Source organism: Homo sapiens, chromosome 19 (genome assembly GCF_000001405.40).
Source record: "Homo sapiens chromosome 19, GRCh38.p14 Primary Assembly".
Classification (NCBI taxonomy): domain Eukaryota; kingdom Metazoa; phylum Chordata; class Mammalia; order Primates; family Hominidae; genus Homo; species Homo sapiens.
The window spans coordinates 18,066,756-18,094,324 of NC_000019.10; the positions used below are offsets into that span (position 1 = coordinate 18,066,756).

Below are 27,569 nucleotides of genomic sequence, written 5' to 3' on the forward strand. Positions count from 1 at the left end.
GTGGCTCGCACCTGTAATCCCAGCACTTTGGGAGGCCGAGGTGGGTAAGTCATTTGAGGCCAGGAGTTCAAGACCAGCCTGGCCAACATGGCAAAACCCCTTCTCTACTAAAAATACAAAAATTAGCCAGGCATGGTGGCGGACACCTGTAATCCCAGCTACTCAGGAGGCTGAGGCAGGAGAATCACTTGAGCCCAGGAGGCAGAGGTTGCAGTGAGCCAAGATGGCACCACTGCACTCCAGCCTGGGCAACAGAGCAAGACCCTGTCTTTAAAAAAAAAAAAAAGCCCAGCCACGATGGCTCATGCCTGCAATCCCAGCATATTGGGAGGCCAAGGTGGGTAGATCACTTAAGGTCAGGAGTTCGAGACTAGCCTGAGGAACATGGGGAAACCCTGTTTCTACTAAAACTACAAAAATTAGCCAGGCATGATGGTGGGCGCCTGTAATCCCAGCTACTCGGCAGGCTGAGGCACGAGAATCGCTTGAACCCGGGATGCAGAGGTTTCAGTGAGCCAAGATCGTGCCACTGCACTCCAGCCTGGGCCACAGAGAGTGACTCTGTCTCAAGAAAAAAAAAAAAAAAAAAAAAAAAGGAGTGCTGGTTGAGCACTTCCTGAATGCCCAGCCTCCCACTGTCCAGAGACGGAGGTAACATTGGCCACAGAGTCAGGTGAGCTGGGTTTTAATTCTGGTTCTGCCACTCAGTCACTGTCATTTCCCTTCCCTGGGCCTCAGTTTTCTTATCTATAAAATGGACAATGCTGGCCGGGCGCAGTGGCTCACACCTGTAATCCCGGCACTTTGGGAGGCCAAGGCAGGTGGATCACGAGGTTAGGCATTTGAGACCAGCCTGGCCAACATGCTAAAACCCTGTCTCTACTAAAGATACAAAAAATTATCCAGGCATGGTAGTGCACACCTATAATCCCAGCTACTCAGGAGGCTGAGGAAGGAGAATGGCTTGAACCCGGGAGGCAGAGGTTGTATGATTGCAGTGGTGCAATCATAGCTCACTGCAGCCTCAAACTCCTGGGATCAAGTGATCTTACCACCTCAGCCTCCTGAGTAGTTGGGACTACAGGCACATGCCACCATGGCTGGCAAACTTTTTTCTTTCTGTAGAGACGGGGTCTTGCTATGTTGCCCAGGCTGTTCTTGAACTCCTGGGTTCAAGTGATCCACAAGCCTCAGCCTCCCAAAGTGCCAAAGTGCTGGGATTACAGGGGTGAGCCATTCTGTCTGCCTTAACAGCATTGTCCTTTTTTTTTTTTTTTTTTTTTTTTTTGAGACAGAGTCTTGCTCTGTCACCCAGACTGGAGTACAGTGGCATGATCTCAGCTCACTGCAACCTCCGCCTCCTGGGTTCAAGCGATTCTCCTGCCTCAGCCTCCCAAGTATCTGGAATTACAGGCACCCGCCACCACACCCGGCTAATTTTTGTATTTTTAGTAGAGACAGGGTTTCGCCACATTGGCCAGGCTGGTTTCAAACTCCTGACCTCAGGTGATCCACCCACCTTGGCCTCCCAAAGTGCTGGGATTACATGCGTGAGTCACTGTGCCCAGCCTCTATTTTTTTAAATTATTTAAAAAGAAAAAATAATGTAAACCTGCAGGTTTGGGTCACTTACCATTGCCCCCAAAGTGGTAGGTGGACAGGACCGTAGACCACAAGGTGAGCTTCTCGGGGTGCGCAGAGGCAAAGATGGTAATGTAGTAACACTTTTCCTGCCCCATTGCCCCAGACTCTCGACTCCAGCTGTAGGTTGCTGGAAGGATAAGCAAAGGCCAGGCCATTCAGTAGATTGTGTTCCCACCTCTGCACCTTTGCACTGGCTGTGCCATCTGCCAGGAACCCCCAGAAAACTCCTACTCATGTTTCAAAGCCCTTGCACCAATATCCCCTCCTCCAAGATCTCTTCCCTATGCAACACCCCCAACCCCATCCCCATCCCCCTCTAACCCAGCCCTTACTCCATGGAACCAGGGCTTCTTTTTTTTTTTTTTTTGAGATGGAGTCTCGCTGTGTCACCCAGGCTGGAGTGCAATAGCGCAATCTTGACTCACTGCAATCCCTGCCTCCCGGGTTCAAGCGATTCTCCTGTCTCAGCCTCCTGAGTAGCTGGGATTTACAGGTGCACACCATCATGCCTGGCTAATTTTTATATTTTTAGTAGAGACAGGGTTTCTCCATGTTGGCCAGGCTGGTCTCGAACTCCTGACCTCTGTTGATCCACCTGCCTCAGCCTCCCAAAGTGCTGGGATTACAGGTGTTAGCCACCTTGCCCGGACAATGGGGTCAGGGGTTCCGTGTCCAGTTCTGTCTCCTCAGGCTGTGTATTCTTCAAGGAACAGGCTGAGGCTGAGGCTTTCTGGGGCTCTGGCAAGGCCCAGAGCAGGAAGCGGGAGAGTGAGAGGCCACCTGAGCCTCACGGCCCCCCTTTCCCTAAAGACTGCTCATTAATTTGCCACCAGCATCTCGCGAACTGCCACCTTCCCTGGCGCGGTTGAATATTTAACAAACACCTTGGGATGTGAGATTCATTACCTGTATGTGTGTGATCTGCCTGGAACTGAGCTCAGGATGCCAGCAAGAGGTTCCAGACCCATATGGGTGAGAGGCTCCGAACCTCACCCTGTCCCTACCTCTGTATGACATTGAGTAAGCAGCAACACCTCTCTGGGCCTTAGACACCCGCTGTGTGCCTTCCCTGCAGGTTTGAACCCACCAGGACCTAAAAGGGAGGGCACAGAGGAGGGGTAGGCGCAGGCCATTCCAGGCCATTACCCATTCCAGCCGGATCCGGGTCTTGCGGCGCAGTCAGGCTGCAGGTGGCAAGGCCCCCGTCCTGGCCCACAGGCTGCCATTCAATGCAATACGTCATGCTCTGAGCCCGGGCTGGCCAATACATGGTGGTCCCGTTGGTTCCGACGCTGATATTCAGAGCCACTGGTTCTGGAAGGAGAGGGGAGAGACGCATCGAGACAGTTGCCATCTCTCTCCCCAGTCCCCTTCTCTGGCTCCTGCAGCCTCTCTCCCACCCTCTCGTCTATACCCCTGACCCTACAGGGCCAGGGGTGTCTGTGTTTGGCTGTTTCCCTGCACTGGAGGCTGCCTTGGGGCCAGGCACAAAGTGGGTAGCAGATGGCGTTTGTTTTTTTTTGTTTTTTCTTTGGAGACGGATTCTTGCTCTGTCGCCCAGGCTGGAGTGCAGTGGCATGATCTCGGCTCCCTGCAACCTCAGCCTCCCGGGTTCAAATGAGTCTCCTGCCTCAGCCTCCTGAGTAGCTGGGACCACAGGCATGCGCCACCATTTCCTGGCTAATTTATTATTATTTTTTGGTGGAGATGGGGTTTCACCGTGTTGCCCAGGCTGGTCTCGAACTCCTGACCTCCAGTGATCCACCTGCCTTGGCTTCCCAAAGTGCTGGGATTACAGGCATAATCCGCCGCATCCAGTCAGCAGGTGGTGTTTGAATGAGCTGAGTCCTCCTCCAGCCTAACTGCTGTCTCCTTGCCAGGATATTCACCATGAGAGCTTCCTGTACTGCCATTACACCCACTTCCAGCCTTGTAGGCGTCTCCGGCTGTGGCAGATACCTGGCTGCCCACCACTTGCCTAGCCTAGGCGGAGAGTGTGATGCAAGACTAGGCCTCCCTGGCCTGACCGGCGCCACTGGTGGTCTCATGCCAAACTCAGAAGCACGAGCACACACCCACTCAGTCCCTGGGCAAATCTCTCCCACTCCCTCCCGCCAGGGCGTCTTCATGAATGTCAGAGAGATGGATACTGCTTGCAATTCTGGGGATAGCAACAGCCGTTTATTGAGTACCAACTGCATGTGCCAAGCCAATGCTGAGAGCTTTACAGGCACCATTTCACTATGATATGGGACCAGGCTGGGTACGGTGGCTCACGCCTGTAATCCTAGCACTTTGGGAGGTGGAGATGGGTGGATCACTTGAGCCCAGGAGTTCGAGACCAGCCTGGGCAACGTAGAGAGACACCTGTCTCTACAAAAAATAAAAATAAAAAATTAACCAGGTGTGGTGGTGCATGTCTGTAGTCCCAGCTACTCCAGAGGCTGAGGTGGAAGGATCACTTGAGTCTGGGAGTTCAAGGCTGCAGTGAGCCATGATTGCACTCCAGTCTGCCAACAGACTGAGAACCTAGCTCAAAAATAATAAAAATAGTAGGTCGGCCACAGTGGCTCACACCTGTAATCCCAGCACTTTGAGAGGCTGAGGTGGGTGGATCACCTGAGGGCAGGAGTTTGAGACCAGCCTGGGCAACATGGTGAAACTCCATCTCTACTAAAAATACAAAAATTAGGCTGGGCATGGTGGCTCACGCCTATAATCCCAACACTTTGGGAGGCCAAGGCAGGTGGATCACTTGAGGTCAGGAGTTCGAGACCAGCCTGGCCAACGTGGTGAAACCCCGTCTCTACTAAAAATACAAAATTAGCCGGGTATGGTGGCAGATGCCTGTAATCCCAGCTACTCGGGAGGCTGAAGCAGGAGAATCTCTTGAATCTGGAAGGCGGAGGTTGCAGTGAGCTGAGATCATGCCATCTGTCACAAGAAAAAAAAGAAATTAGATCTTAAATAAACACAGGGTCAACTCTAGCCTTTTTTCTTTCTTTCTCTCTTTTTTCTTTTTTGAAAAAGAGTGTAGCTCTATCAACCAGGGTGGAGCGCAGTGGCTCAGCTAGTTTTTGTTGTTGTTCTTTAATAATGCATAATAGCCAGGTATGATGGCACATGCCTATATTCCCAGCTATTTGGGAGGCTGAGGGAGAAAGATTGCTTGAGCCCAGAAGTTCAAGTCCAGCCTGGGCAACATAGCAAAACTCTGTCTCTTAAAAAAAACAAACCAACAACAACAAAAAACTGCATTATGGATCTTGATTATTGAATTTTTTTTTTTTGACACAGTCTTGCTCTTTGTTGCCCAGGCTGGAGTGCAATGGCACAATTTTGGCTCACTGCAACCTCTGGCTCCTGGGTTCAAGCGATTCTCCTGCCTCAGCCTCCCAAGTAGCTGGGACTACAGCCACCACACTCAGCTAATTTTTGTATTTTTAGTAGAGACTGGGTTTCACCACGTTGGCCAGACTGGTCTCGAACTGCTGACCTCAGGTGATTCACCTGTCTTAGCCTCCCAAAGTGCTGGGATTACAGGTGTGAGCCACCGTGCCTGGCTGATTACTGAATTTTTGATACACCCCTAAATCAGGCACTCCTTTAAAATTTTCTGCCTCGCTCCTCTCACCCTGGTCTAGCTGAGGCTCAGAGTAGGTGCTCAGCTCTGAGGGGCCCTCATACCGCCCTCCCCACCCAGAGGAGGCACCTGTGTGGGTGTCGGCAGGAATGTGCCACGTCTGGTTCAGGCCAGGACCAAATTGGTTCGAGGAGATGACAGCCACGTTGTAGGCAGCACCCGAGAGATAGGGCATCTTCCCCAGGTGCAGGGTCCTGGTGGCCTTGGCCTTACACGGGCAGGACAGCATGTGGAGCTGTAGTCGGTAAGTGACCTCCGTGCCAGGCGCCAGCCCTTGACAGCCTTCTGGAAGCTCCAGCTGGGTTGGCTGTCAGGAGTATGAAAGACAGCTTGTGGGTACCTGATCACACTCATCATCCCATAGGCAGACAGCAGGGCACAGCCTATGAAGACAGACTTGGACAAAGGCCACAGCCAATAACATGCATCAAAAATTAAAAGAATAATAAACCTCAATGCTGGCAAAGCTGCTGTGAGACAGGCATTCACCTCCCGCACACATCTAGCTTGAGGGAGGTGGGAAATTGACAAAACCCACTGACATTCAGGAAAACAAAAATGTTTCCATCTTTTAACCCAGTTACCTCAAGCAGAAAATTTTTCCTTAGAAAAGGAATTTGAGAGGCCGGGCACGGGGGCTCACGCCTCTAATCCCAGCACTTTGGGAGGCCGAGACGGGTAGATCATGAGGTCAGGAGATTGAGACCATCCTGGCTAACACGGTGAAACCCCGTCTCTACTAAAAATACAAAAAATTAGCCCGGCATGGTGGTGGGCGCCTGTAGTCCCAGCTACTCGGGAGGCTGAGGCAGGAGAATGGCGTGAACCCGGGAGGCGGAGCTTGTAGTGAGCCGAGATGGCGCCACTGCACTCCAGCCTGGGCGACAGAGCAAGACTCCATCTCAAAAAAAAAAAAAAAAAAAGGAAAAAAAAGAAGAGGAATTTGAGTTAGAGGAACATAGGAAATAAAGGATTTTTGCTACAGCCTTATAGTAACAGCCCATTAGGGACCTGACTAAGATGACTATGGTAAAGTCAACGAGTGGAGTATTTGTCAGTTTTGTCTCAACAGAGATACTCCCTCTATGCCTCAGTTTCCCTCTCTGTAAACTAATCAGACTGCACTTAATGGGTTGTTTTGGGACTTAAAGCAATAATCTGCTACCCAGGCAAATGCAGTCACCATTATCTCCTTCCTGGCCTTCTGGCTTCTGTGCAATTCCCCCACACTCTGTTTCTCACACAGGAGCCAGGGAAAGTCTGTGAACATCTGAGTCCAGTCATGTGCCTCTCCTGCTCACACACACACTCCATGGCTCCCTATTACCTTCAGAGTTAAACCCACAATTTGCCCACTTCCTGCCACCTCTACATCTCATCTCCCTCCATCTACCACTTGCTCATCCCCCGCCTAGGCTTTTGCCTCCTGCTCCCCATCCCAGGCCACCCCACAGCCCTGTGACAGCCCCGTTACCTGCTCTTTCAGGGTCAGCCGCCTCCTCCCATCCTGGCCCAGCTGCTCCACCGAGAATCTCACCTGAGGCTGTGGGGGGTTTTCTGCAATCAGAACCAAACCAACTAGACGAATTGGAAGGAGAGAAAGACTGATGGATGTTTTCTTTGTAAATGATGGATTCTCCACATTTACAAAGTGAAAATCCCTTGCTGCCCCAAATTGCAGAAAAGAGAAAAAACTGAAGGAAGAAAAATTAACACAATTTGCATCCCCAGGGATAACTGCCACCTGTAATCTCATGTTGCCTAAGGTTTTTTGTTTGTTTGTTTGTTCGTTTGCTTTTTGAGACGAAGTCTCACTCTATTACCTAGGCTGGAGTGCACTGGTGCGATCTCGGCTCACTGCAATCTCTGCCTTCTGGGTTCAAGCGATTCTCCTGCCTCAGCCTTCCAAGTAGCTGGGATTACAGGCATGCACCACCATGTCCGGCTAATTTTTGTATTTTTAGTAGAGACGGGGTTTCACCATGTTGGTCAGGCTGTTCTTGAACTCCTGACCTTGTGATCCACTTGCCTCGGCCTCCCAAACTGCTGGAATTATAGGCGTGAGCCACTGCGCCTGGCCTCTAAGTTCCTTTTTGAATGCAAATGTATTTCTCTGCATGGTTTTGTTGTTGTTGCTGTTGTTTTATAGACTAGAGACAGAGTCTCGTTTTGATTCCCAGGCTTGTCTCAAACTCCTGGCCTCAAACAATCCTCTGGCCTCGGCCTCCCAAAGTGCTGGGATTACAGGCATAAACCACAGCGCCAGGCCTTTCTGCATGGTTTGAAACCCTCTCACTCATTTTCCTGTTGCCCAGGCTCAGGGCAGCAGCTGTTTAGTACACCCTGCCACCTGCAGGTGACATTGTCCTTGAGACACCGTGAGGTTCAGCCTGATGATTCTCACTTGATAAAGCCCTGTAGTGGGCTGAGCGCAGTGGCTCATACCTGGAATTCTAGCACTTTGGGAGACCGTGGTGGGAGGATCACTTGAGGCCAGGAGTTCGAGACCAGCCGGGCAAACATGGCGAAACCCCATCTCTACTAAAAATACAAAATTAGCTGGGCGTGGTGGTGCATGCCTGTAAATCCCAGCTACTCTGGAGGCTGAGGCAGGAGAATCGCTTGAACCCGTGAGGCGGAGGTTGCAGTGAGCCAAGATCACACCACTGCACTCCAGCCAGGGTGACAGAGCAAGACAGTCTCAAAACAAAACAAAAAATAGCAGTAGGCCGGGCGCGGTGGCTCACGCCTGTAATCCCAGCACTTTGGGAGGCCGAGGAGGGCAGATCACGAGGTCAGGAGATTGAGACCATCCTGGCTAACATGGTGAAACCCCGTCTCTACTAAAAAATACAAAAAATTAACCGGGCGTGGTTGCAGACACCTGTAGTCCCAGCTACTTGGGAGGCTGAGGCAGGACAATGGCGTGAACCCGGGAGGCGGAGCTTGCAGTGAGCCGAGATGGCGCCACTGCACTCCAGCCTGGGTGACAGAGTGAGACTCCGTCTCAAAAAAAAAAACAACAAAAAACAACAAACAAACAAACAAAAAAAACAGCAGCAAAAAACCCTAAAGTGGGTGCAGCAAGACCGGATGCCACATTGTCAGGGTTTGAGCACCCATTTCTCCCTCTGCCTTATTTCTAACACTCACCACCTTGTTTCTAATACCTGCTGCCTTATTTCTTTTTCCATTTTATTTTATTATTACTTTTTTTTTTTTTTTTACTTTTTTTTGAGACAGAGTCTGGCCCTGTCACCCAGGCTGGAGTGCAGTGGTGTGATCTTGGATCCCTGCAACCTCCACCTCCCGGGTTCAAGGGATTCTCCTGCCTCAGCCTCCCAAGTAGCTGGGATTACAGGCTCCCGCCACCACGCCCAGCTAATTTTCGTATTTTTAGTAGAGAAGGGGTTTCACCATGTTGGCCAGGCTGGTCTCGAACTCCTGACCTCAAGTGATCTGCCCGCCTCAGCCTCCCAAAGTGCTGGGATTACAGGCATCAGCCACCACGCCCAGCCCCATTTTATTTTATTTTTTAGAGATGGGGTCTCACTATGTTGCCCGGGCTGGTCTCAAACCACTGGCCTCAAGTGATCCTCCCGCCTCAGCCTTCTGAGCAGCTGGAACTACAGGTGTGCACCACCACCTCCGGCTGTTGCCTTATTTCTAATGCTTGCCCCTGTTCCTGTACTCAGAGTGATCTTACCAGGGGGAACGCACACGGGGCTGCTCCACTTGCTCCAGGAACTTCCTTGGCTCCCCAGCTGCCGTCGTCGGAGCTGGAATTCCTGGGCCACATTCATCTCCAGGGGGCAGAGGCAGGACTCTGGGGAGAGGCAGGTCGAACATCAGGCCGTAAGAATTGTCCAGGACTTGGCACCAGTCACTTAACCATCATGTGCTTATTGAGCTCCAACTGTGTACAGAGCCACGTGCTGGGTCCTGGGGGCTCAGCAGAAGCAGGCCAGGCCCTGTCCTCTTAGGGCCTCCAGGATCACCCACGTCCATCCCTGCCCCTCAGTTCAAGTCCTGGCTGCGGCCATCCCTTCGGTCGTGACCTTGGCCAAAGGCTTCTCACCCCCTCCAAGTCGTGATTTGTTTCCCCACCTGCAATTTGGAAAGAATCCAATACTGAACTATGGGGCAGGGTAAGAGGCATACAAAAAAATTCAGCATTGGACCTGGCATACAGTAGGTGCTCAATTAATGCCAATTTGCTGCAGCTGTTGTTGTCATTACTATTATTATTCTCACCAGTATCATCATCCTGAGGTCCGCAGTCGCCCTAGAATAAAAACATATTCATATATTGTTTTGCATTTTGGTGCTGAAAAATATTTGCTGTTTTACAATTAGTTATTTATTTACTTATTTATCTGAGACACGGTCTCACTCTGTCATCTAGGCTGGAGTGCAGTGGTGCAATCATGGCTTATTGAAGCCTCAACCTCCCAGGGCTCAGGTGATCCTCCCGCCTCAGTCTCCTGAGTAGTTGGGACTACAGGCATGCACCATCACACTCAGCTAATTTTTGCATTTTTGGTAGAGACGGGATTTCACCATGTTGCCCAGGCTGGTCTCAAACTCCTGGCCTCAAGCAATCCCACCCCAACTCGGCCTCCCAAAGCACTGGGATTACAGGCGTGAGCCACCGCACCTCGCTAAATTTTTTTAAATTAAAGACCATACTTCCAGGGATTATTTCTATCGTTAATTACTAGAGAACCTTCTCTAGGTTCAAACCTTCTTTAGGAACATATAAAGCAGTAAAAAATTATTATAACTAAATTTTAAAAATTAATAATTATTTTACTAAACACAATGTGGGATCCTGGATTGAATCTGGGAGCAGAAAAAAGACATTCCTGGAAAAATTGGTGACATTCAAATAATGCCTGGAGTTTATGTAAGACATTAACATTAGAGGAGTTTGGGTAAAGGATATATGGGCGTTCTCTGCACCAGTTTATATAGTAACTTTTCTGAAAATCGAAGGTTATTCCAAAAGAAAAAATTTATTTTAAAAAATTTTAGTGGGAGCAAGGCGTGGTGGTTCATGCCTGTATTCCCAGCACTTTGGAAGGCCAAGGTGGGCGGATCACCTGAGGAGTTTGAGACCAGCCTGGCCCACATGGCGAAACCCCGTCTCTACTAAAAATACAAAAATTAGCTGCGTGTGGTAGTGGGCGCATGCCTGTAATCCCAGCTACTCGGGAGGCTGACGCAGGACAATCGCTTGAACCCGGGAGGCAGAGGTTGCAGTGAGCTGAGATCATGCCACTGCACTCCAGCCTGGGCGACAGAGCAAGGCTCCGTCTCAGAAAAAAAAAAAGAAAAAGAAAAAAACCACCTCAGGGGCTAGAGTGGGGGCTGGTTGGGAGCGGGGACAGATGCAGAGATGGTGAGACTGATTTGGGGGTGAAGGTGCCCTGGAGAGGCCCGTGTCCACCCTGGACTTGGGAAACAAACTCACCAACTTCCATGGGCTGCTGGGTGTCCGGTGCCGGAACTGCACCTCAGCACCAACCTGGTTATCCGGGGTCTCCCACTCCATACGCAGCTGCCCGGCCAACTTGGACACCTTGATGTCTCCCAGAGGAGGCTCATATTTAACTGGAAGCAGAGGTAGGGATTGGCGAGGGGCAGCCCACACGTATGTGAGTTAATGGGCCCTGAAAATCCACCCTGTCCAGGGTAAGCAACTGAATCCCTAAATATGAATTAGGGGACACTTGCAGGTCCCAGCTAAGCCTGGTATATTATGATCAAAAAGTCAAGATTTATACACAAGCCACATACGGTGGCTCACCCTGTAATTCCAGTATTTTGGGAGGCCAAGGCAGGAAGATCACTTAAGCCCAGGAGTTCGAGACCAGCCTGGGCAACATAGTGAGACCCCCTCATCTCTACATAAAAATTAGCCAGGCATGGTAGTTCATGACTGTGGTTCCAGCTACTTAGGAGAGTGAGATGGGAGGATCTCTTGAGCCTAGGAGGCTGAGGCTGAAGTGAGCCCTGATCACACCACTGCTCTCCAATCTAGGAGAGAGAGGGAGAACTTGTCTCTAAAAAAACAACAAATATGGCCAGGAGCAGTGGCTCATAGCTGTAATCCTAGCACTTTGGGAAGCCAAGGTGGGTGGATCATCTGAGGTCAGGAGTTTAAGACCAACCTGGCCAACACGGTGAAACACCGTCTCTACTAAATACAAAAATTAGCCAGGCATGGTGGTGGGCACCTGTAATCCCAGCTACTTGGGAGCCTGAGGCAGGAGAATCGCTTGAACCCAGGAGGCGGAGGTTGTAGTTAGACAAGATCCCACCACTGCCCTCCGGCCTGGGTGACAGAGCAAGACTCTGTCTCAAAACAAATTAAAATTAAATTAAAATTTAAAAATAAATAATTTTTAATAAAGATTTATACACAGGATCCTGTTAGTGAAGATAACTTTAAAATATTAACACCCATTGCTGGCAAGGCTGTGAAGAGACGGGCACTTTTGTAAATTGCTTGCCAGAGGGTAATCAATTCTGGTAAGCAATTTACAAAAGTGCCTGTCTCTTGGGGGTGATCCGCCCACCTCGGGCTCCCAAAGTGCTGGGATTATAGGCATGAGCCACTGTGTCCAGCCAATTCTTTTTTTGTTTGTTTGTTTGTTTAGAACTATCAGGGAAATCGTACTTAGTTTTTAGATCTATTTCAAGGAACCTGACCCAAGGAGAGACATAAATTAGCATAAAATAGTCTTGCTGCACCGTGGTCATACCCGGCCTGATTCTTTTTTTATATCATTGTATAAATTTAAGAGGTATGATGGTTTGATATACATATCCATAGTGAAATGATTACTACAGTAAGGAATTTAACATATCCATGGCCAGGCACAGGGGCCCACGCCTGTACTCGAAGCACTTTGGGAGGCCAAGACAGGAGGATCATTTGAGCCCAGGAGTTCAAGACCACCCTGGCCAACACAGCAAGACCCCATCTCTTAAAAATATATATACATATCCATCACCTTCTATAATTACTTTTTTGGTGTGTGGTGAGAACACTTAAAATTTTTTTTTTTTTTTTTGAGATGGAGTCTCGCTCTGTCACCCAGGCTGGAGTGCAGTGGTGTGATCTCGGTTCACTGTAACCTCCATACCACAGGTTCACGTGATTCTCCTGCCTCAGCATCCCGAGTAGCTGGAATTACAGGCGCCCGCCACCACACTCGGCTAATTTTTGTATTTTTAGTAGAGATGGGGTTTCACCATGTTGGTCAGGCTGGTCTCGAACTCCTGACCTCAGGTGATCCTCCCACCTCGGCCTCTCGAAGTGCTAGGATTACAGGCGTGAACCACTGCACCCAGCCCTTAAATCTATTCTTTTAGCAAATTTTCAATATACATTATTTTTAATTATAGTTCTCTACTGTACCTTGGAACTCTAGATTTATTTGTGCTGCGTAACTACAAATTGTATTCCTTTGACCTACATCTCCCCCATTTCCTCCTTCTCTCCATCCCCGGTAACCACAGTTCTACTTTCGGTGCCTAGATATTCGACTTTTTTTTTTTAAGATTATACATGTAAGTGGGATGGGCGCGGTGGCTCACGCCTGTAATCCCAGCACTTTGGGAGGCTGAGGCGGGTGGATCATGAGGTCAGGAGATCGAGACCACGGTGAAACCCCGTCTCTACTAAAAATACAAAAACTTAGCCGGGCGCGGTGGCGGGCGCCTGTAGTCCCAGCTACTGGGGAGGCTGAGGCAGGAGAATGGTGTGAACCCAGGAGGCAGAGCTTGCAGTGAGCCGAGATCGCGCCACTGCACTCCAGCCTGGGCGACAGAGCGAAACTCCATCTCAAAAAAAAGAAAAAAGAAAAAAAGATTATACATGTAAGTGAGATCATGAAATGTTTTTGTTTCTGTGCCTGGCTTACTTCACTCAGCGTAATGTCCTCCAGCTTTGTCCATGTTGTGGCAAATGACATGTTTTCCTTCATTCTTTTCTTTTCTTTTTTCTTTTTTTTCTTTTTTTTTGAGACAGTGTCTTGCTCTGTCACTCAGGCTGGAATGCAGTGACTTGATCTTAGCTCACTGCAACATCTGCCTCCTGGATTCAAGCCATTCTCCCGCCTCAGCCTCCTGGGTAGCTGGGATTGCAGGCATGCACCACCACACCAGGCAAATTTTTTTGGCTTTTTTGTGTGTTGCTGTTGTTTTTTAGATGGAGTCCTGCTCTGTCGCCAGGCAGGAGTGCAGTGGCTCAATCTCAGCTCACTGTAACCTCCACCTCCCGGGTTCAAGCGATTCTCCTGCCTCAGTCTCCCCAGTAGCTGGGACTACAGGCGCGCGTGGCCACTCCTGGCTAATTTTTGTATTTTTAATAGAGATGGGGTTTCACCATGTTGACCAGGATGGTCTCGATCTCTTGACCTTGTGATCCACCCACCTCAGCCTCCCAAAGTGCTGGGATTACAGGCGTGATCCACCGCACCCGGCAAAATACATGATGTCGAGTCATGAGAACAGATAATAAGAACCCAACCAGGTCTTGGCAGCATTATGGCTAGCAGAGAGAAACCAGAAGCAATCTAAGTGCCCACGAATAGGGGATTGGTAAGGGGACCATGAAAGACTGCTTTGTCACAATAGTGTTTGCGTGACACTACGTGAAGTGACAATGGCTAGTAGTATCAAGTCCCTTGCCAAGGGCCAGGAATCCTCTCTAGCTCCAGCCTTGCAGCCTGATGGCCTCTCTGGGTAAAAAACGGACGGGGGGAGAACAAGGTGCTAACCTGAGTTGTAGAGCTGCAGGGTCACCTCAGGAGACTTCTCTGTCTGGTTCCTGGCCCAGGATTCCACCCAGAGTGTGACAGTGTACAGCACAGACACCCCAGCCTGGTCGGAGAACTGCAGCCTGGTGGCTGAGCCGGCGGCGAAGTAGCAGCAGCGCCCGGAGCTAAGGCTGCAGCAGGAAGGAGGGTGTCAGTGCCGAGTCTGGGGTCCTAGTGGACCCCACAGCCGACTTTGTGCATCACATCCCAGCATCGTTTTTTTGGTGTTTGTTTGTTTGTTTGGAGATGGAGTTTCATTCTGTCACCCAGGCTGGAGTGCAGTCGCGCAATCTCGGCTCACTGCAACCTCCACCTCCCTGGTTCAAGCAATTCTCCCACCTCAGCCTCCCTAGTAGCTGGGATTACAGGCACATGCCACCACATGCGTCTAAGTTTTGTATTTTTAGTAGAGATGGAGTTTCACCATGTTGGCCAGGCTGGTCTCCAACTTCTGGCCTCAAGTGATCCGCCCACCTCAGCCTCCCAAAGTGCTGGGATTACAAGCGTGAGCCACCGTGCCCAGCCCCCAGCATCCTTTTCTGTCCCTTGTACACCTCCTCCCCCAGCCTGGGGGTTCCTTGGAGATCAGTCTGGGACTGGAGGGGTTTGAGGGACCCCAGTATCTCCCAGCAAGGACTGCACCACACAGCGAAGAAACGAATGAAAGGGCTGGGCGCAGTGCCTCACGCTTGTAATCCCAGCACTTTGGGAGGCCAAGGGGGGGTGGATCACCTGAGGCCAGGAGTTCAAGACCAGCCTGGCCAACATGGTGAGACTCTGTCTCTACTAAAAATACAAAAATTAGCAGGTGTGGTGGCGTGTGCCTATAGTCCCAGCTACTCAGGAGGCTGAGGCAGGAAAATCACTCTAACTCAGGAGGCAGAGGTTGCAGTGAGCTGACATCATGCCACTGCACTCCAGCCTGGGCAACAGAGCAAGACTCCATCTCAAAAAAAGAAAAAAAGAAAAAAGAAAAAATGGATGGATGGATGGATGGATGGATGGATGGATGGATGGTTGGATGGGTGGATAAGTGAAAGGGTGAAGAAGAAAAAAGGACTAGAGAGACCCTCATGGCCACCCACCCTGGGATGCCTACCTTCACTGACCAACCCCCCACCACAATCCTCCAACTCTCTCTTCTTAGATGAGAAACTGAAGCCCAGGAAGGAGTGTTGACCCAGCCAAGATCACGCATCCGAGAGTAGGGGCACCAGAGGGGGTTGAAGCAAGAGTGGGATGGTGGGTGAGGGTTTGGGAATGGTAGAGGGGTCCTCACCAACACCGCAGGAAGTGGCTGACCCCAGCTGTGGGACCCTCATACTGCCAGGAGCACTCGTAACGATCACTGGATATCCGATAGCATCTCAGGTCCCTAGGGCCCGAGGCCGAGCCTGGAAGAGATCCTGTAGGCTTGGGAACAGACCAGAGTCTGGAGGGGTCTTCGTGCCTAAGACAAATCTTTGTGATGCTTACATCTTTCAGCGTCACCTCAGCCTAAACCCTCCCCGCGTCCTTCCTACCTCATCCCCTGCCGTCTCTCACCTCAACCTATTCCGAATCCTCAGCCTCCTAACTTGTCCTCACAGAGGCCAGATGTCCTGCCACCTCTCTCTCTATCCCTCACCCTCCTCTGGTGTTTTTTTTTGGGGGGTCCCCAGGGCCCCAACTTTCCTCCTCTGGTTCTTCAAAACACATCATCACATTTGTGATAGACATTTGTTTGCCTGTTGTCTATCTCTTCCACTAGGCTGTGGTCTTGGGAAGTTAGTTGAGCTCATAGCCAGTTGCCTATGTCTAGAACTGTGTCCGCACATAGAAGATGCTCAGTAAATCGTTATCAAACAAAAGAATGGACAGCGTGTCTGCTTAGTGTTCAGACCCTTTTCAGGGTGCATTAGGAGCATAAATGTTCCGACAATATGGCCGGGCACGGTGGCTCATTCCTGGAATCCCAGCACTTTGGGAGGCTGAGGCAGGTGGCTCACCATCACCTGAGCTCAGGAGTTCAAGACCAGCCTGGGCGACATGGTGAAACCTGGTCTCTACTAAAAATACAAAAATTAGCCGGGTGTGGTGGCGGGCACCTGTAATCCCAGCTACTTGGAAGGCTGAGGCTGGAGAATAGCTTGAACCTGGAAGGTGGAGGTGGCAGTGAGCTGTGATCAGGCCACTGCACTCCAACCTGGGCAGCAGAACAAGACTCCGTCTCAAAAATAAATAAATGAAATAAATGTTCTAATAATTTATCAGGTTGGGGGGGGGGCTTCAAAATGCTTAACAGGTACTTTCTCCCATGTACCGACCAATCTGAACGGACACAGACACCAGCCCTGAGACCATGCTAGGGAAGTGATAATGTTCAGAGAGGCGGCTGGCTACTCCAGGGCAACTTGAACCTGGTAAGAATGGGCCAGCAGGTGGTGGGGTGGGGACTCCCAAGACCACAGGCAGGGCTGGGTCTTTGGCCTGGTGGTGGAGGCCATGGGAGGGGCCGCTGTGGATGGGGTCAGGCAGAGCCCTACATAATCCTCAGCCAACAATGAGGAACTGCCCCGAACCTGAGTCTGCATCCGGATATGGCGGGTCCTGAAAACAGCACTCACTGGTTCTGCAGGCAGCTGCAAAGGCAATGAAGACATAATGACATTCCTGGCCTTGCACTGTGTGGGGAGAAGGGCTCAGCCTTGGGGTCTACACCCAAGTGATCATCAGCCCTCCCACCCACCCACTTTCCCATCTATGCACCCTCCTACCACCACCCATCCATCCATCTGCCCATGTATTTATCTGCCCATCTACCCATCCATCCATGTATTTATTCATCCGTCCACCATCTACCCATCCATCCACCCATGAATTCATCCATTCACCCATCCATCCATCCATCCATCCATCCATCCATCCATGTATTCATCCATCATCCATCCACCCCACCATCCACCCATCTACCCATCCATCCATCCATGTACTCATCCATCCATCCACTCATCTACCCATCCATCTATCCAACCATCCATGTATTCATTCATCCATCCACCCATCTATCCATCCATCCATCCACCTCACCATCCACCCATTCACCCATCCATCCATGTATTCATCCATCCATGTATTCATCCATCCATGCACCCATCTACCCATCCATCCATCCATCCATCCATCCATCCATCCACCCCACCATCCACCCATTTACCCATCCATCCATGTATTTATCCATCCATGTATTCATCCATCCATCCACGCATCTACCCATCCATCTATCCATCCATGTGTTCATTCATCCATCTACTCATCCATCCATCTGCCCCACCATCCATCCATCCACGTATTCATACATCCATCCATCCACCCCACCATCCGTCCATCCATCCACGTATTCATCCATCCATCCATCCACCCCCCATCCATCTATCCATCCATCCATCCATCCATCCATCCATCCATCAATCCATGTATTAATCCATGCATCCACCCCACCATCCACCCATTTATCCGTCCATTCGTCCATTCATCCATCCATCCATGTATTAATCCATCCATCCATCCATCCATCCATCCCACCATCCACCCATTCACCCATCCATCCATGTATTCATTAGTCCATCCATCCATCCATCCATCCATGTATTTATCCATGCATCCATGCATTCATTAATCCATTATCCATTCACCCAACCATCCATCTATCCATCTAGTCACCAATCTATCCATCTATCCATCCACGTATTCATTCATCCATACACCCACCCATCCATCCATTTATCTACCTACCGATATATCCATCCAGCCATCCATCCATCCATCCATCCATCCATCCATCCATCCATACATACATACATGTATTTATTAATTCATCCATCCATTCATTTACCCACCCATCCACCTGTCTATCCATTCATCCACCACCCTTTAGTCCTCAGAGGTTGAGATGCATATTTGGGAGACACTCTCGGGAGGTACCCCTGCAGGAAAGAACAGTAAGACCAACAGTCTGGAGGGCAGAGAGAAGTGGAGGTGTGCCTGGGGTGGCACCAGTGTCTGAAGCCAGCATGGGGAAAGACAGTAGAGGGTGCATGGCAGGGAGAGGCCTGCCAGGGCTGGCCCAGGCAAGCACACTTGGCCCACTAGCAGTCAGGGCAATTATTAATAACATTTCTCCAGGAGGCAGCGACCTCCCTCAGCCACTGGGATCCCCGTGCCCTTTGGGATTGCCACAGTCTGCTAGGTGTGGAACTGGGTGAGAGAAGGAGGGGGATGCCACCATGGATGGGTCAGGAAGACCCCGGCGCCCTCACTCCCACAAGAAGGACCTGTCCTGAGCCCTGCAGGCAGATTGGAAGCCTTGGGGGAGAAGGCGGCACCCCAGGAAACAGCCCCAAGTGTCCAACCTTGAGGGGGGAAAGATGCTTAACACACAAGGCTCTCCATCCTTCCATCTCTCTCTGTGATGACACAGAACCCCCACCCACCCACCCACCCCTGAGAGCCTAAAGCCCATCCTCCTTCCCTTTCCCTGGACTGACCACTCACTGCCACTATCTCCAGGATACCTCGTGGGCTGCCTCTCGCCCCCTCCCTGCTGCTGGTCTCCAGCCATGCCTGGCCCCTGAAGGCGCTGGGACCTTGAGGTGTGGCCAGCACTGCTGTGGGCATTCTACAGGCACTCAGTGCATCTCAAGAGCCATTGAAAAAGTCAGCACCCCGCTGATCCCCAGTGTACAGAGAAGGAAAGTTTATTTATTATTATTATTATTGAGATAGAGTCTTGCTCTGCCACACAGGCTGGAATGCAGTGCTGCAATCTCGGCTCACTGCAACCTCTGCCTCCTGGGTTCAAGCGATCCTCCCACCTCAGCTCCTAAGTAGCTGGGAGTACAGGTGCCCATCATCAAGCCTGGCTAATTTTTGCATTTTTAGTAGAGATGGGGTTTCACCATGTTAGCCAGGCTGGTCTCGAACTCCTGACCTCAAGTGATCCACCCATCTTGGCCTCCCATAGTGCTGGATTTTCAGGAGTGAGTCACCGTGCAGGGCCTGAGATTATTAAAAGTATATGGGAAGGCTGGGCATGGTGGCTCATGCCTGTAATCTGAGCACTTTGGGAGGCCAAGGTGAGTGGATCATTTGAGCCCAGGAGTTCGAGACCAGCCTGGGCAACACAGCGAGACGCTGTCTCTGTAAAAAGTATACACCAAAAAAATTAACCAGGCATGGTAGTGTGCACCTGCAGTCCCAGCTACTCAAGGGGCTAAGGCAGGAGGATCACTTGAGCCCAGGTGGTCAAGGCTGCAATGAGTTATGATTAGGCCACTGCACTCCAGCCTGGGACACAGAGTGAGACCCTACCTCAGTAAATAAATAAATAAATAAATAAATAAATAAATAAATAAATAAATAAGTAAAGTATACGGAAGGATGTGCATAGGTTATATGCAAATACTTTACCATTTTATATCAGGAACTTGAGCATCTTTGGATTTTGGTATCTGCAGAGGGTCCTGGAACCATTGCCCCGTAAATATGGAAATGACTGTATACATTATATTATGTATGTCTATCTATTGTAAACTACATACATAAGATACTATACTATGTATACCTATTAGATACATACTTGCTTTTTATTCCTTCCTTAGTTTTTTTTCTCATTGAACTCCGGGAGGTGGAAAAAATTTAGTGCATTTCACAGAAGAGAAAATCTAGACCAGAGGAAAGATGTCTAAGTTCGATCCCAGAAGCCATGACTGCCCATCTCCCATTTGACAGCAGGAAAGACTGAGGCACAGAGAGATGAAACCAACCCACACAGCAGGCCCACAGCTCTCCACACATACACGTGCCTCCACCCAGCAAGAGGAGCCGCCATGCCAGGGTCAGGGGACTCACCGCCCTGCCTGGACAGCAGGAAGAGGAAGAGGAGGGGGACCACCCAGGTCACCAGCGGCTCCATCGGATCCACGTAGAGCCCCACAGCCCCAGGGGAGCCTCTCTGCCACCTGCGAGGTTCAGCCACCCCGTCCCCACTCCGGAACACATTGAAGCTGAGCAAGGAGAAAAGACTGAAAAAAAAGAAAAAAGAAAAAAAGTAAAGTGTCACAGCCCATCCCTAAGGCAAGTCAAAGTGAAAGAGAAACCCAGGAAGTCAGCTCCGTGGTGGTGGTGATGGTGGCGGCCACAGACTCTGGAGCAAGTCTGACTTTGGAGCAAGTCAGGGTTCTAGGGGGTTCTGCCCTGCTGGCCCCAGACCTGAACTGAACACCCAGATGCCAGCCCCATGGGCCCATGGGCCACCTGTGGTTCCATGCACTTGGCCAGGTCTCTGGCCCTCTCTAGCCAATTTTTTTTTTTTTTTTTGAGATGGAGCCCTGCTCTGTCGCCCGGGCTGGAGTGTGGTGGCATGATCTCCACTCACTGCAACTTCTGCCTCCCGGGTTCAAGCAATTCTCCTGCCTCAGCCTCCCGAGTAGCTGGAATTACAGGCAACTGCCACAACATCGAGCTAATTTTTGTATTTTTAGTAGAGACAGGGTTTCACCATGCTGGCCAGGCTGGTCTCGAACTCCTAACCCTAAGTGATCCACCCACCTCAGCCTCCCAAAGTGCTGGGATGACAGGCGTGAGCTACCGTGCCTGGCTGCCAAATTCTTTTTTTCTTCTTTTGAGATAGGGTCTTGATCTGTGGCCCAGCTGTAGTGCAGTGGTGCAATCACGGCTCACTGCAACATCAACCTCCCCAGGCTCAGGCCATCCTCCTACCTCAGCCTCCCCAGGAACTGGGACTACAGGCATGCACCACCACGCCCAGCTAATTTTTGCATTTTTTTTTTTTTAAGAGAGGGGGTTTTGCCATGTTGCCCAGGCTGGTCTCAAACTCCCGGGTTCAAATGATCCGTCCGCCTTGGCCTACCAAAATTCTGGGATCACAGGCGTGAGCCACCGCACCGGGCCATCTCGCCAGCTTCTGAATCTGAGACTCAAGAGCTGAAGGAGGGCAGTGTTCTTGGATGGCCTAATTTCATCCTTCCAACAAATTGTTACAAAGAGCTTGCAGCATGCTGGCCCTCCACAATGCCCACCTCCCCACATGCCAAGCTCCAGCCTTGTGCACCTGGGCTCACCCCTCTAATCCCAGCACTTTGAGAGGTCGAGGTGGGAGGATCACTTGACCCCAGGAGTTTGGGTCTACCTAAACAACATAGCAAGACCCCATCTCTATAAAAAATAAAGAATTAGGCCAGGCGCGGTGGCTCACGCCTGTAATCCCAGTACTTTGGGAGGCCAAGGCAGGTGGATCACGAGGTCAGGAGTTTGAGACCAGCCTGACCAAAATGGTGAAACCCTGTCTCTACTGAAAATACAAAAATTAACCGGGTGTGGTGGCAGGCACCTGTAATCCCAGCTACTGAGGAGGCTGAGGCAGGAGAATCGCTTGAACCCAGGAGGTGGAGGTTGCAGTGAGCCGAGATCGCGCCACTGCACTCCAGCCTGGGCAACAGAGTGACACTCCATCTCAAAATATATATATATATATAAATTAAAAGTTAGCCAGTCGTGGTGGCACACATCTGTATTCTCAGCTACTCAGGAGGCTGAGGTGGGAGAATGGCTTGAACCCAGGAGGTTGAGGCTGCAGTGAATCGTGATTGTGCCACTGCACTCCAGTCTGGGTAACAGAGCAAGATCCTGTCTCTTAAAAAAAAAAAAAAAAAAATTTAAGAGATGCAACTTAGTCTTTCCCCCATGTTCCATTTCTTAGCCTCTGAGTATTTTGTTTCCTGCCCCTCCCTCCCCACTGTCGGCAAAGCCTCTAAATGTCAGTGGAGAAGCTCTGATCCAAGCTACCATGTGGATGAACCCTCAAAAACATAATGCTGGGCTGGGTGCAGTGGTTCACATCTGTAATTCCAACACTTTGGGAGGCCGAGGTGGGCGGATCACCTGAGGTCAGGAGTTTGAGACCAGCCTGGCCAACAAGGCGAAACCCTGTCTCTACTAAAAATACAAAAATTTGCCAGGCCTGGTGACATGTGCCTGTAATTCCAGCTATTCGGGAGGCTGAGGCAGAGAGAATTACTTGAACCTGGGAGGTAGAGGTTGCAGTGAGCTGAGATCGTGCCACTGCACTCCAGCCTGGGTGACAGAGTGAGACTCCATCTCAAAAAAAAAAAAACACACATACACAAAAAAAAAAACCCATCATGCTGGGTGGACGAAGATGGACAGGAAAGGCACACACTGTATGATTCCACTTATATAAAATATCCAAAATAGGCAAATGTACAGAGGCAGACAGTAGCTGAGTGGTTGTCAGGGGCTGGGGGGAGGCGGGAGTGAGAAGTGACTGCTGATGTATGCGGGGTTTCCTTTTGGGGTGATGCAAATGTTCTGGAACCAGATAGAGGTGGTGGTTGCACAACACTGAATGTGCTAAATGTCACTGAATCGTTTGCTTTAAAATGATGAATTTCCGGCCCGGGCGCGGTGGCTCACTCCTGCAATCCCAGCACTTGGGAGGCCGAGCCAGGTGGATCATTTGAGGTCAGGAGTTCGAGACCAGCCTGGACAACACAGTGAAACCCAGTCTCTACTAAAAATACAAAAATTAGCTGGGCGTGATGGCATGCACCTGTAATCCCAGCTACTCAGGAGGCTGAGGCAGGAGAATCGCTTGAACCCGGGAGGCAGAGGTTGCAGTGAGCCGAGATCACACCACTGCACTCCCACCTGGGTGAGAGAGTGAGACTATGTCTCAAAAAAAAAAAAAAAGATGAATTTTAGGTTACGTGAGATGCATCTACAGAAAAAAGAAATATTCTTAGAGTCCAGGGGCACTGAGGAGGGAGAAGGAGAGGGTCTCTCCTGGGGATGAGCATCTGTGGAAACTGAGGCCCAAGTGGCCAGGGTTGTGCAATGCGGTTCAGCTTCCTGGGAGGAGGTCCCTCCTTCAAGAAGCCTGGCTCCGAGGGGCAGCTGAGCTGGCCAGGGTCAGGCGCCCAGCAGGCTATGAGGTCAGTGAGTTAGGGACAAAGACTCAGTGTCCTGGGCCTGGCACAGTGGGGACGGGGGCCCTGTGACCCCATACAGGACAGCCTTCTCTGGCCCCGGGGCCCAGGCCAGGGTCAGCTGGGGGATGGATGTGTGAGGCCTGGGGGAGGGGCAGAGACAGAGAAAGGGACAGAGATAGAGAGATACATAAAGATGGAGGAGGCCAGGCAGGGTGGATTATGCCTGTAATCCAGCACTTTGTGAGGCCAAGGCAGGAGGATTGCTGTAGGCTAGGAGTTCAAGAGCAGCCTGGGCAACATGGTGAGACTCCATCTCTACAAAAAATAATTTGCTGGGCATGGTGGCAGGTGCCTGTAGTCCCAGCTACCTGGGAGGCTGAGGCTTAAGCCAGGGAGGTCGAGACTGCAGTGAGCTCTAATTGCGCCACTGCACTCCAGCCTGGGCCACAGAGCAAGACCCTGCTCAAAAAATAACAAGAAAGGTGGAGGAAATAGGTAGAGATCAGAGGAAAGTCATGGCCCCCTCCTGACCATCCTGAGACCCTCCCAACTCCACCAATTCCTGGAGAGTCCCTCACTTGCCTTATTTCACAGATTGGGAAACTGAGTCCAGGGGCACTCAGACCACCTGAGGCCCCAGCTGGAGATGAAGAGATGGATTCAAACCACCCCTTGTGGAGTATAGTTTTGCCCCTTCCAGAGTGGAGACCGTGCCTCAGGGCTTCCCCCACCCGCACCAAGGTTGGCCCTCTCAGGCCTCATCTTTCCCACCTGCAAAATGGGCTTTTGTGAGTATGAAGGAGGGCTTGGCTTGCAGTGAGCGCTGTCCACCCGCTGGCCAGTGTGATTAGTCATTGTTGTTGTTCCCCAGTGGCCTCTGCCTGGCAGCTGCTGGAAAAACATCGAGGGAGGGAGATACAGGGCTGGGGAGGTGAAAAGCTGGACACAGACGCCCCTAGCCCCTTGGGATCAGGAACAGATGGAGGCCGGGTGCCCTGAAGTGGAGCAGGGAGGACTGCCTGGAGGAGGGACACTTGAGCTAGAATGTATAGAATTACAGGGCATCTCCGGCAGAGGCCACAGCAGAGGCAAAAGTCCAGAGGAGGTGCTTTGGGGACCACCAAGATGGACACAGTGGGTCTGGGTTTCTGTGGGGTGATGGGCTGGGGCCTCGAGCGCCAGGCTAAAGGGCCTGGCTTTCTCCGAGGGCGGTAGGGAGCCATGGCAGGTGTGTGAGCTGGAGGGGTACCCCAGACAAAGGTGAAGTGGTATTTCTCCCCTTATTGAAGTCACAACCTGACACTCCCTCTGAAGTTCCCCACATCCCACCTTCCCCTTGCCACATCTTGGCAAGCCCACCTCCTTCCCTCCGTCTCTAGGCCTGCCAAGAGGCCCTGTGGGCCCCTTATGGCCCCACCCAGCTGCCCCAGAAGCTCGTCTGAGATAAGTTCCCAGGGCTGCCCCACTTTCAGGTGCCCCACAGACTCGGGGGCGGGTGAAGCAGGAAGGATCGAGTCACGAGGGCCCCAGAAAACATGACGGGAGGAACCACAGCACTTCCCCACCTCCTCAGCTTCCGCCTTCTCAGGGAGAGAGACCTTCAGCCCGAGGAGGAGGGCCGAGCTTCCCTCCATGTGGCAAGAGACCCTAACGTCGCTGAGGATCATCTAAAGAGGGTGTTGAAGGATGCATAGGAGTTAGCCAGGAGACAACCCATTTGTTAATTTAACAAACTCATAGGCATCACTCATCAACAAGAACAATTTTCATCATTCAATCAGGACTTTCTAATGCCTCTGAGGGATCATTTGAGGATGTTTAATTATTATTTTTATTTGAGACAGGGTCTCACTCTGTTACCCAGGCTGGAGTGCAGTGACACAATCATAGCTCACTGCAGCCTCAACCTCCCAGTTTCAAGCTATCCTTCTACCTCAGCCTCTGATATAGCTGAGACACAGGCCAATGCCACCATGATGCCTGGCTTTTCTTTTTTTTTTTTTTTTTTTTACTTTTGAGACAGAGTCTTGCTCAGTCACCCAGGCTGGAGTGCAGTGGTGCGATTTCAGCTCACTATAACCTCCGCCTCCTGAGTTTAAGCAATTCTCCTGCCTCAGCCTCCTGAGTAGCTGGGATTACAGACATGCACCACCACACCCAGCTAATTTTTGTATTTGTAGTAGAGATGGGGTTTCACCATGTTGTCCAGGCTGGTCTCAAATGCCTGACCTTAAGTGATCTGCTGGCCTCGGCCTCCCAAAGGGCTGGGATTACCGGCGTAAGCCACCGCCCCTCGACCATCCAGCTTTTTTTTTTTTTTTTTCAGTTTTTGGTAGAAATGTGGTCTCATGCCTGTATCCCAGCACTTTGGGAAGGCCGAGGTGGGCAGATCACTTGAGGTCAGGAATTCGAGACTAGCCTGACCAACATGGAGAAACCCCGTCTCTACTAAAAATACAAAATTAGCCGGGCATGGTGGCTCCTGTCTGTAATCCCAGCTACTTGGGAGGCTGAGGCAAGAGAATCACTTGAACCTGGTAAGCGGGGTTTGCGGTGAGCCAAGATCGTGCCATTGCACTCCAGCCTGGGCAACAAGAGTGAAATTCTGTCTCAAAAAAATAAAATAAAATAAAAATACAAAATTAGCCAGGCATGGTGGCACGCGCCTGTAATCCTAGCTACTCAGGAGGCTGAGGCAGGAGAATCGCTTGAACCTGGTAGGCGGAGGTTGCAGTGAGCTGAGATTGTGCCACTGCACCCCAGCCTAGGAGACAAGAGCAAAACTCTGTCTGAAAAAAAAAAAAAAAAAGAAATGTGGTCTCACTATGTTGCCTAGGCTGGTCTCAAACTCCTGGTCTCAAGGGATCCTCCCACCTCAGCCTCCCAAAGTGCTGGGATTACAGGCATGAGCCACCGCTCCCAAACAGATTAGAGGATGTTTTAAGGAAGACTCAGGAGGTTACCAAGAAAAAAGTTCATTCAACCACCACACTTCCTGATGTCCCTTATAGAGACATGTGAGGAGAGTTTTGATGGGTACATAGAAGCTCACAAGAATAAAATGTATTTGTTCATTCAATACAAGGTCCTCTGATACTTCTCAAAGAGAATTTGAAGTGGATTTTGAAGAATATATAGATGTTAGGCCGGGCACAGTGGCTCATGCCTGTAATCCTAGCACTTTGGGAGGCTGAGGTGGGTGGATCGCCTGAGGTCAGGAGTTTGAGACCAGCCTGGCAAACATGGTGAAACCCTGTCTCCACTAAAAATACAAAGATTAGCCGGGTGTGGTGGCAGGTGCCTGTAATTCCAGCTACTCGGGAGGCTGAGCGCAGGAGAATTGCTTGAATCCAGGAGGCGGAGGTTGCAGTGAGCCGAGATTGCTCCACTGCACTTCAGCCTGGCCAACAGAGCTGGACTTTTGTCTCAAAAACAAAAAACAAAAAAACACAAATATATATATATATATACTTGTGTGTGTGCGTGTGTGTGTGTGTGTGTGTGTTAACCACAGAAAAACTGCATTCATTCATTCAGTCAGTCCAGTCAGTCACTCAATAAGCACTCCTTCTTGCCCACTGAGGGGTTGTTCAGGAGGCAGTTCAGTGTAGGAATTCTCCAGATGGAGCAGCGGATTTGAGACCTCTCTGGTGGCTCTCTCCAGCATGTTCCCACATGCCCAACCCAACCCTGGTTCAGGGAACCTCTCTTTCCCCAGGATTCCAGTCAAAGCCCCAGGGAGGGCTCTGATAGGCTGAGCTTGGGTCACATGTACACCTTGAACCAATCACAGTGGCTGAGGTGGATAAACGAGTCTGAGTCACATGTCCACCCCAGGCTGGACTAAGGGAGAACTTTGAGGCAGAGCTGCCCAGAGTCAGAACAATTGGCCATTGCAGGACATGAGCTTCTCATCACTTGGGGTGTGCAAGCTACAGCCTGAAGTTCACTTAGTGTAGGACTGCCAGATAAAACACACGACTTCCCCACCCCCATTGACTTCTGCCTTCTCAGGGACCTTCAGCCCGAAGAGTGGGGAGCTTCCCTCCATGTGGCCAAGAGACCCTGATGCCCCTGAGGGGTCATCTAAAGAGGGTGTTGAAGGATGCATAGGAGTTTGCCAGGAGAAAATCTATTCATTCATTTAACAAACTCACTCGTAGTCATTATTCATTAAATAACATTTAAATTAAATTCCCAGTTAAATTGGAATTTCAGACAACCAACATATTGGTTTGTGTTTTGTTTTGTCTTGTTTTGTTTTGTTTGAGATGGAGTCTCGCTCTGTCACCCAGGCTGGAGTGCACTGGCACTATCTCAGCTCACTGCAACCTCTGCCTCCCAGGTTCAAGTGATTCTCCTGCCTCAGCCCCCCGAGTAGCGGGGATTACAGGCGTGCCCCATTACGCCCCCTTAATTTTTGTAGTTTTAGTAGAGACGCGGTTT

At 50.6% G+C, this 27,569-nt stretch overlaps 1 protein-coding gene across 25 annotated transcripts in view, besides 3 other annotated features; it reads right to left on the bottom strand.

Annotated features, from left to right (window-relative positions):
- The window catches only part of IL12RB1 (interleukin 12 receptor subunit beta 1), a 39,933-nt gene that overhangs the window by 7,761 nt on the left and 4,603 nt on the right, over positions 1 to 27,569 (bottom strand). For 5 of the 25 annotated variants that reach the window (XM_011527972.4, XM_011527966.3, XM_011527971.4 and 2 more), the window contains exons 2-12: positions 20,005 to 20,177; positions 16,677 to 16,736; positions 15,395 to 15,521; positions 14,077 to 14,246; positions 10,761 to 10,900; positions 9,542 to 9,572; positions 8,994 to 9,113; positions 6,762 to 6,865; positions 5,357 to 5,594; positions 2,791 to 2,958; positions 1,634 to 1,771 (exon numbers count right to left, since the gene is read on the bottom strand). In XM_011527972.4, the coding sequence (XP_011526274.1) occupies positions 1,634 to 1,771; positions 2,791 to 2,958; positions 5,357 to 5,594; positions 6,762 to 6,865; positions 8,994 to 9,113; positions 9,542 to 9,572; positions 10,761 to 10,900; positions 14,077 to 14,246; positions 15,395 to 15,521; positions 16,677 to 16,736; positions 20,005 to 20,177 (1,469 nt within the window). Of the gene's footprint in view, positions 1 to 1,633; positions 1,772 to 2,790; positions 2,959 to 3,803; positions 4,579 to 5,356; positions 5,595 to 6,761; positions 6,866 to 8,993; positions 9,114 to 9,541; positions 9,573 to 10,760; positions 10,901 to 14,076; positions 14,247 to 15,394; positions 15,522 to 16,676; positions 16,737 to 20,004; positions 20,180 to 23,894; positions 24,015 to 27,569 lie in introns of those variants that run through there. The other 20 variants (NM_001290024.2, XM_011527975.3, XM_011527969.3 and 17 more) reach the window with 12 other exon arrangements.
- Positions 20,091 to 20,440: an enhancer, noted in NCBI's record as "active region_14295". NCBI's record gives its function as "activates an Ori minimal core promoter by ATAC-STARR-seq in GM12878 lymphoblastoid cells {active_cell/tissue: GM12878}" and the evidence as "EXISTENCE:reporter gene assay evidence [ECO:0000049][PMID:35858748]".
- Positions 20,451 to 20,510: an enhancer, noted in NCBI's record as "active region_14296". NCBI's record gives its function as "activates an Ori minimal core promoter by ATAC-STARR-seq in GM12878 lymphoblastoid cells {active_cell/tissue: GM12878}" and the evidence as "EXISTENCE:reporter gene assay evidence [ECO:0000049][PMID:35858748]".
- Positions 26,875 to 26,954: a silencer, noted in NCBI's record as "silent region_10368". NCBI's record gives its function as "represses an Ori minimal core promoter by ATAC-STARR-seq in GM12878 lymphoblastoid cells {active_cell/tissue: GM12878}" and the evidence as "EXISTENCE:reporter gene assay evidence [ECO:0000049][PMID:35858748]".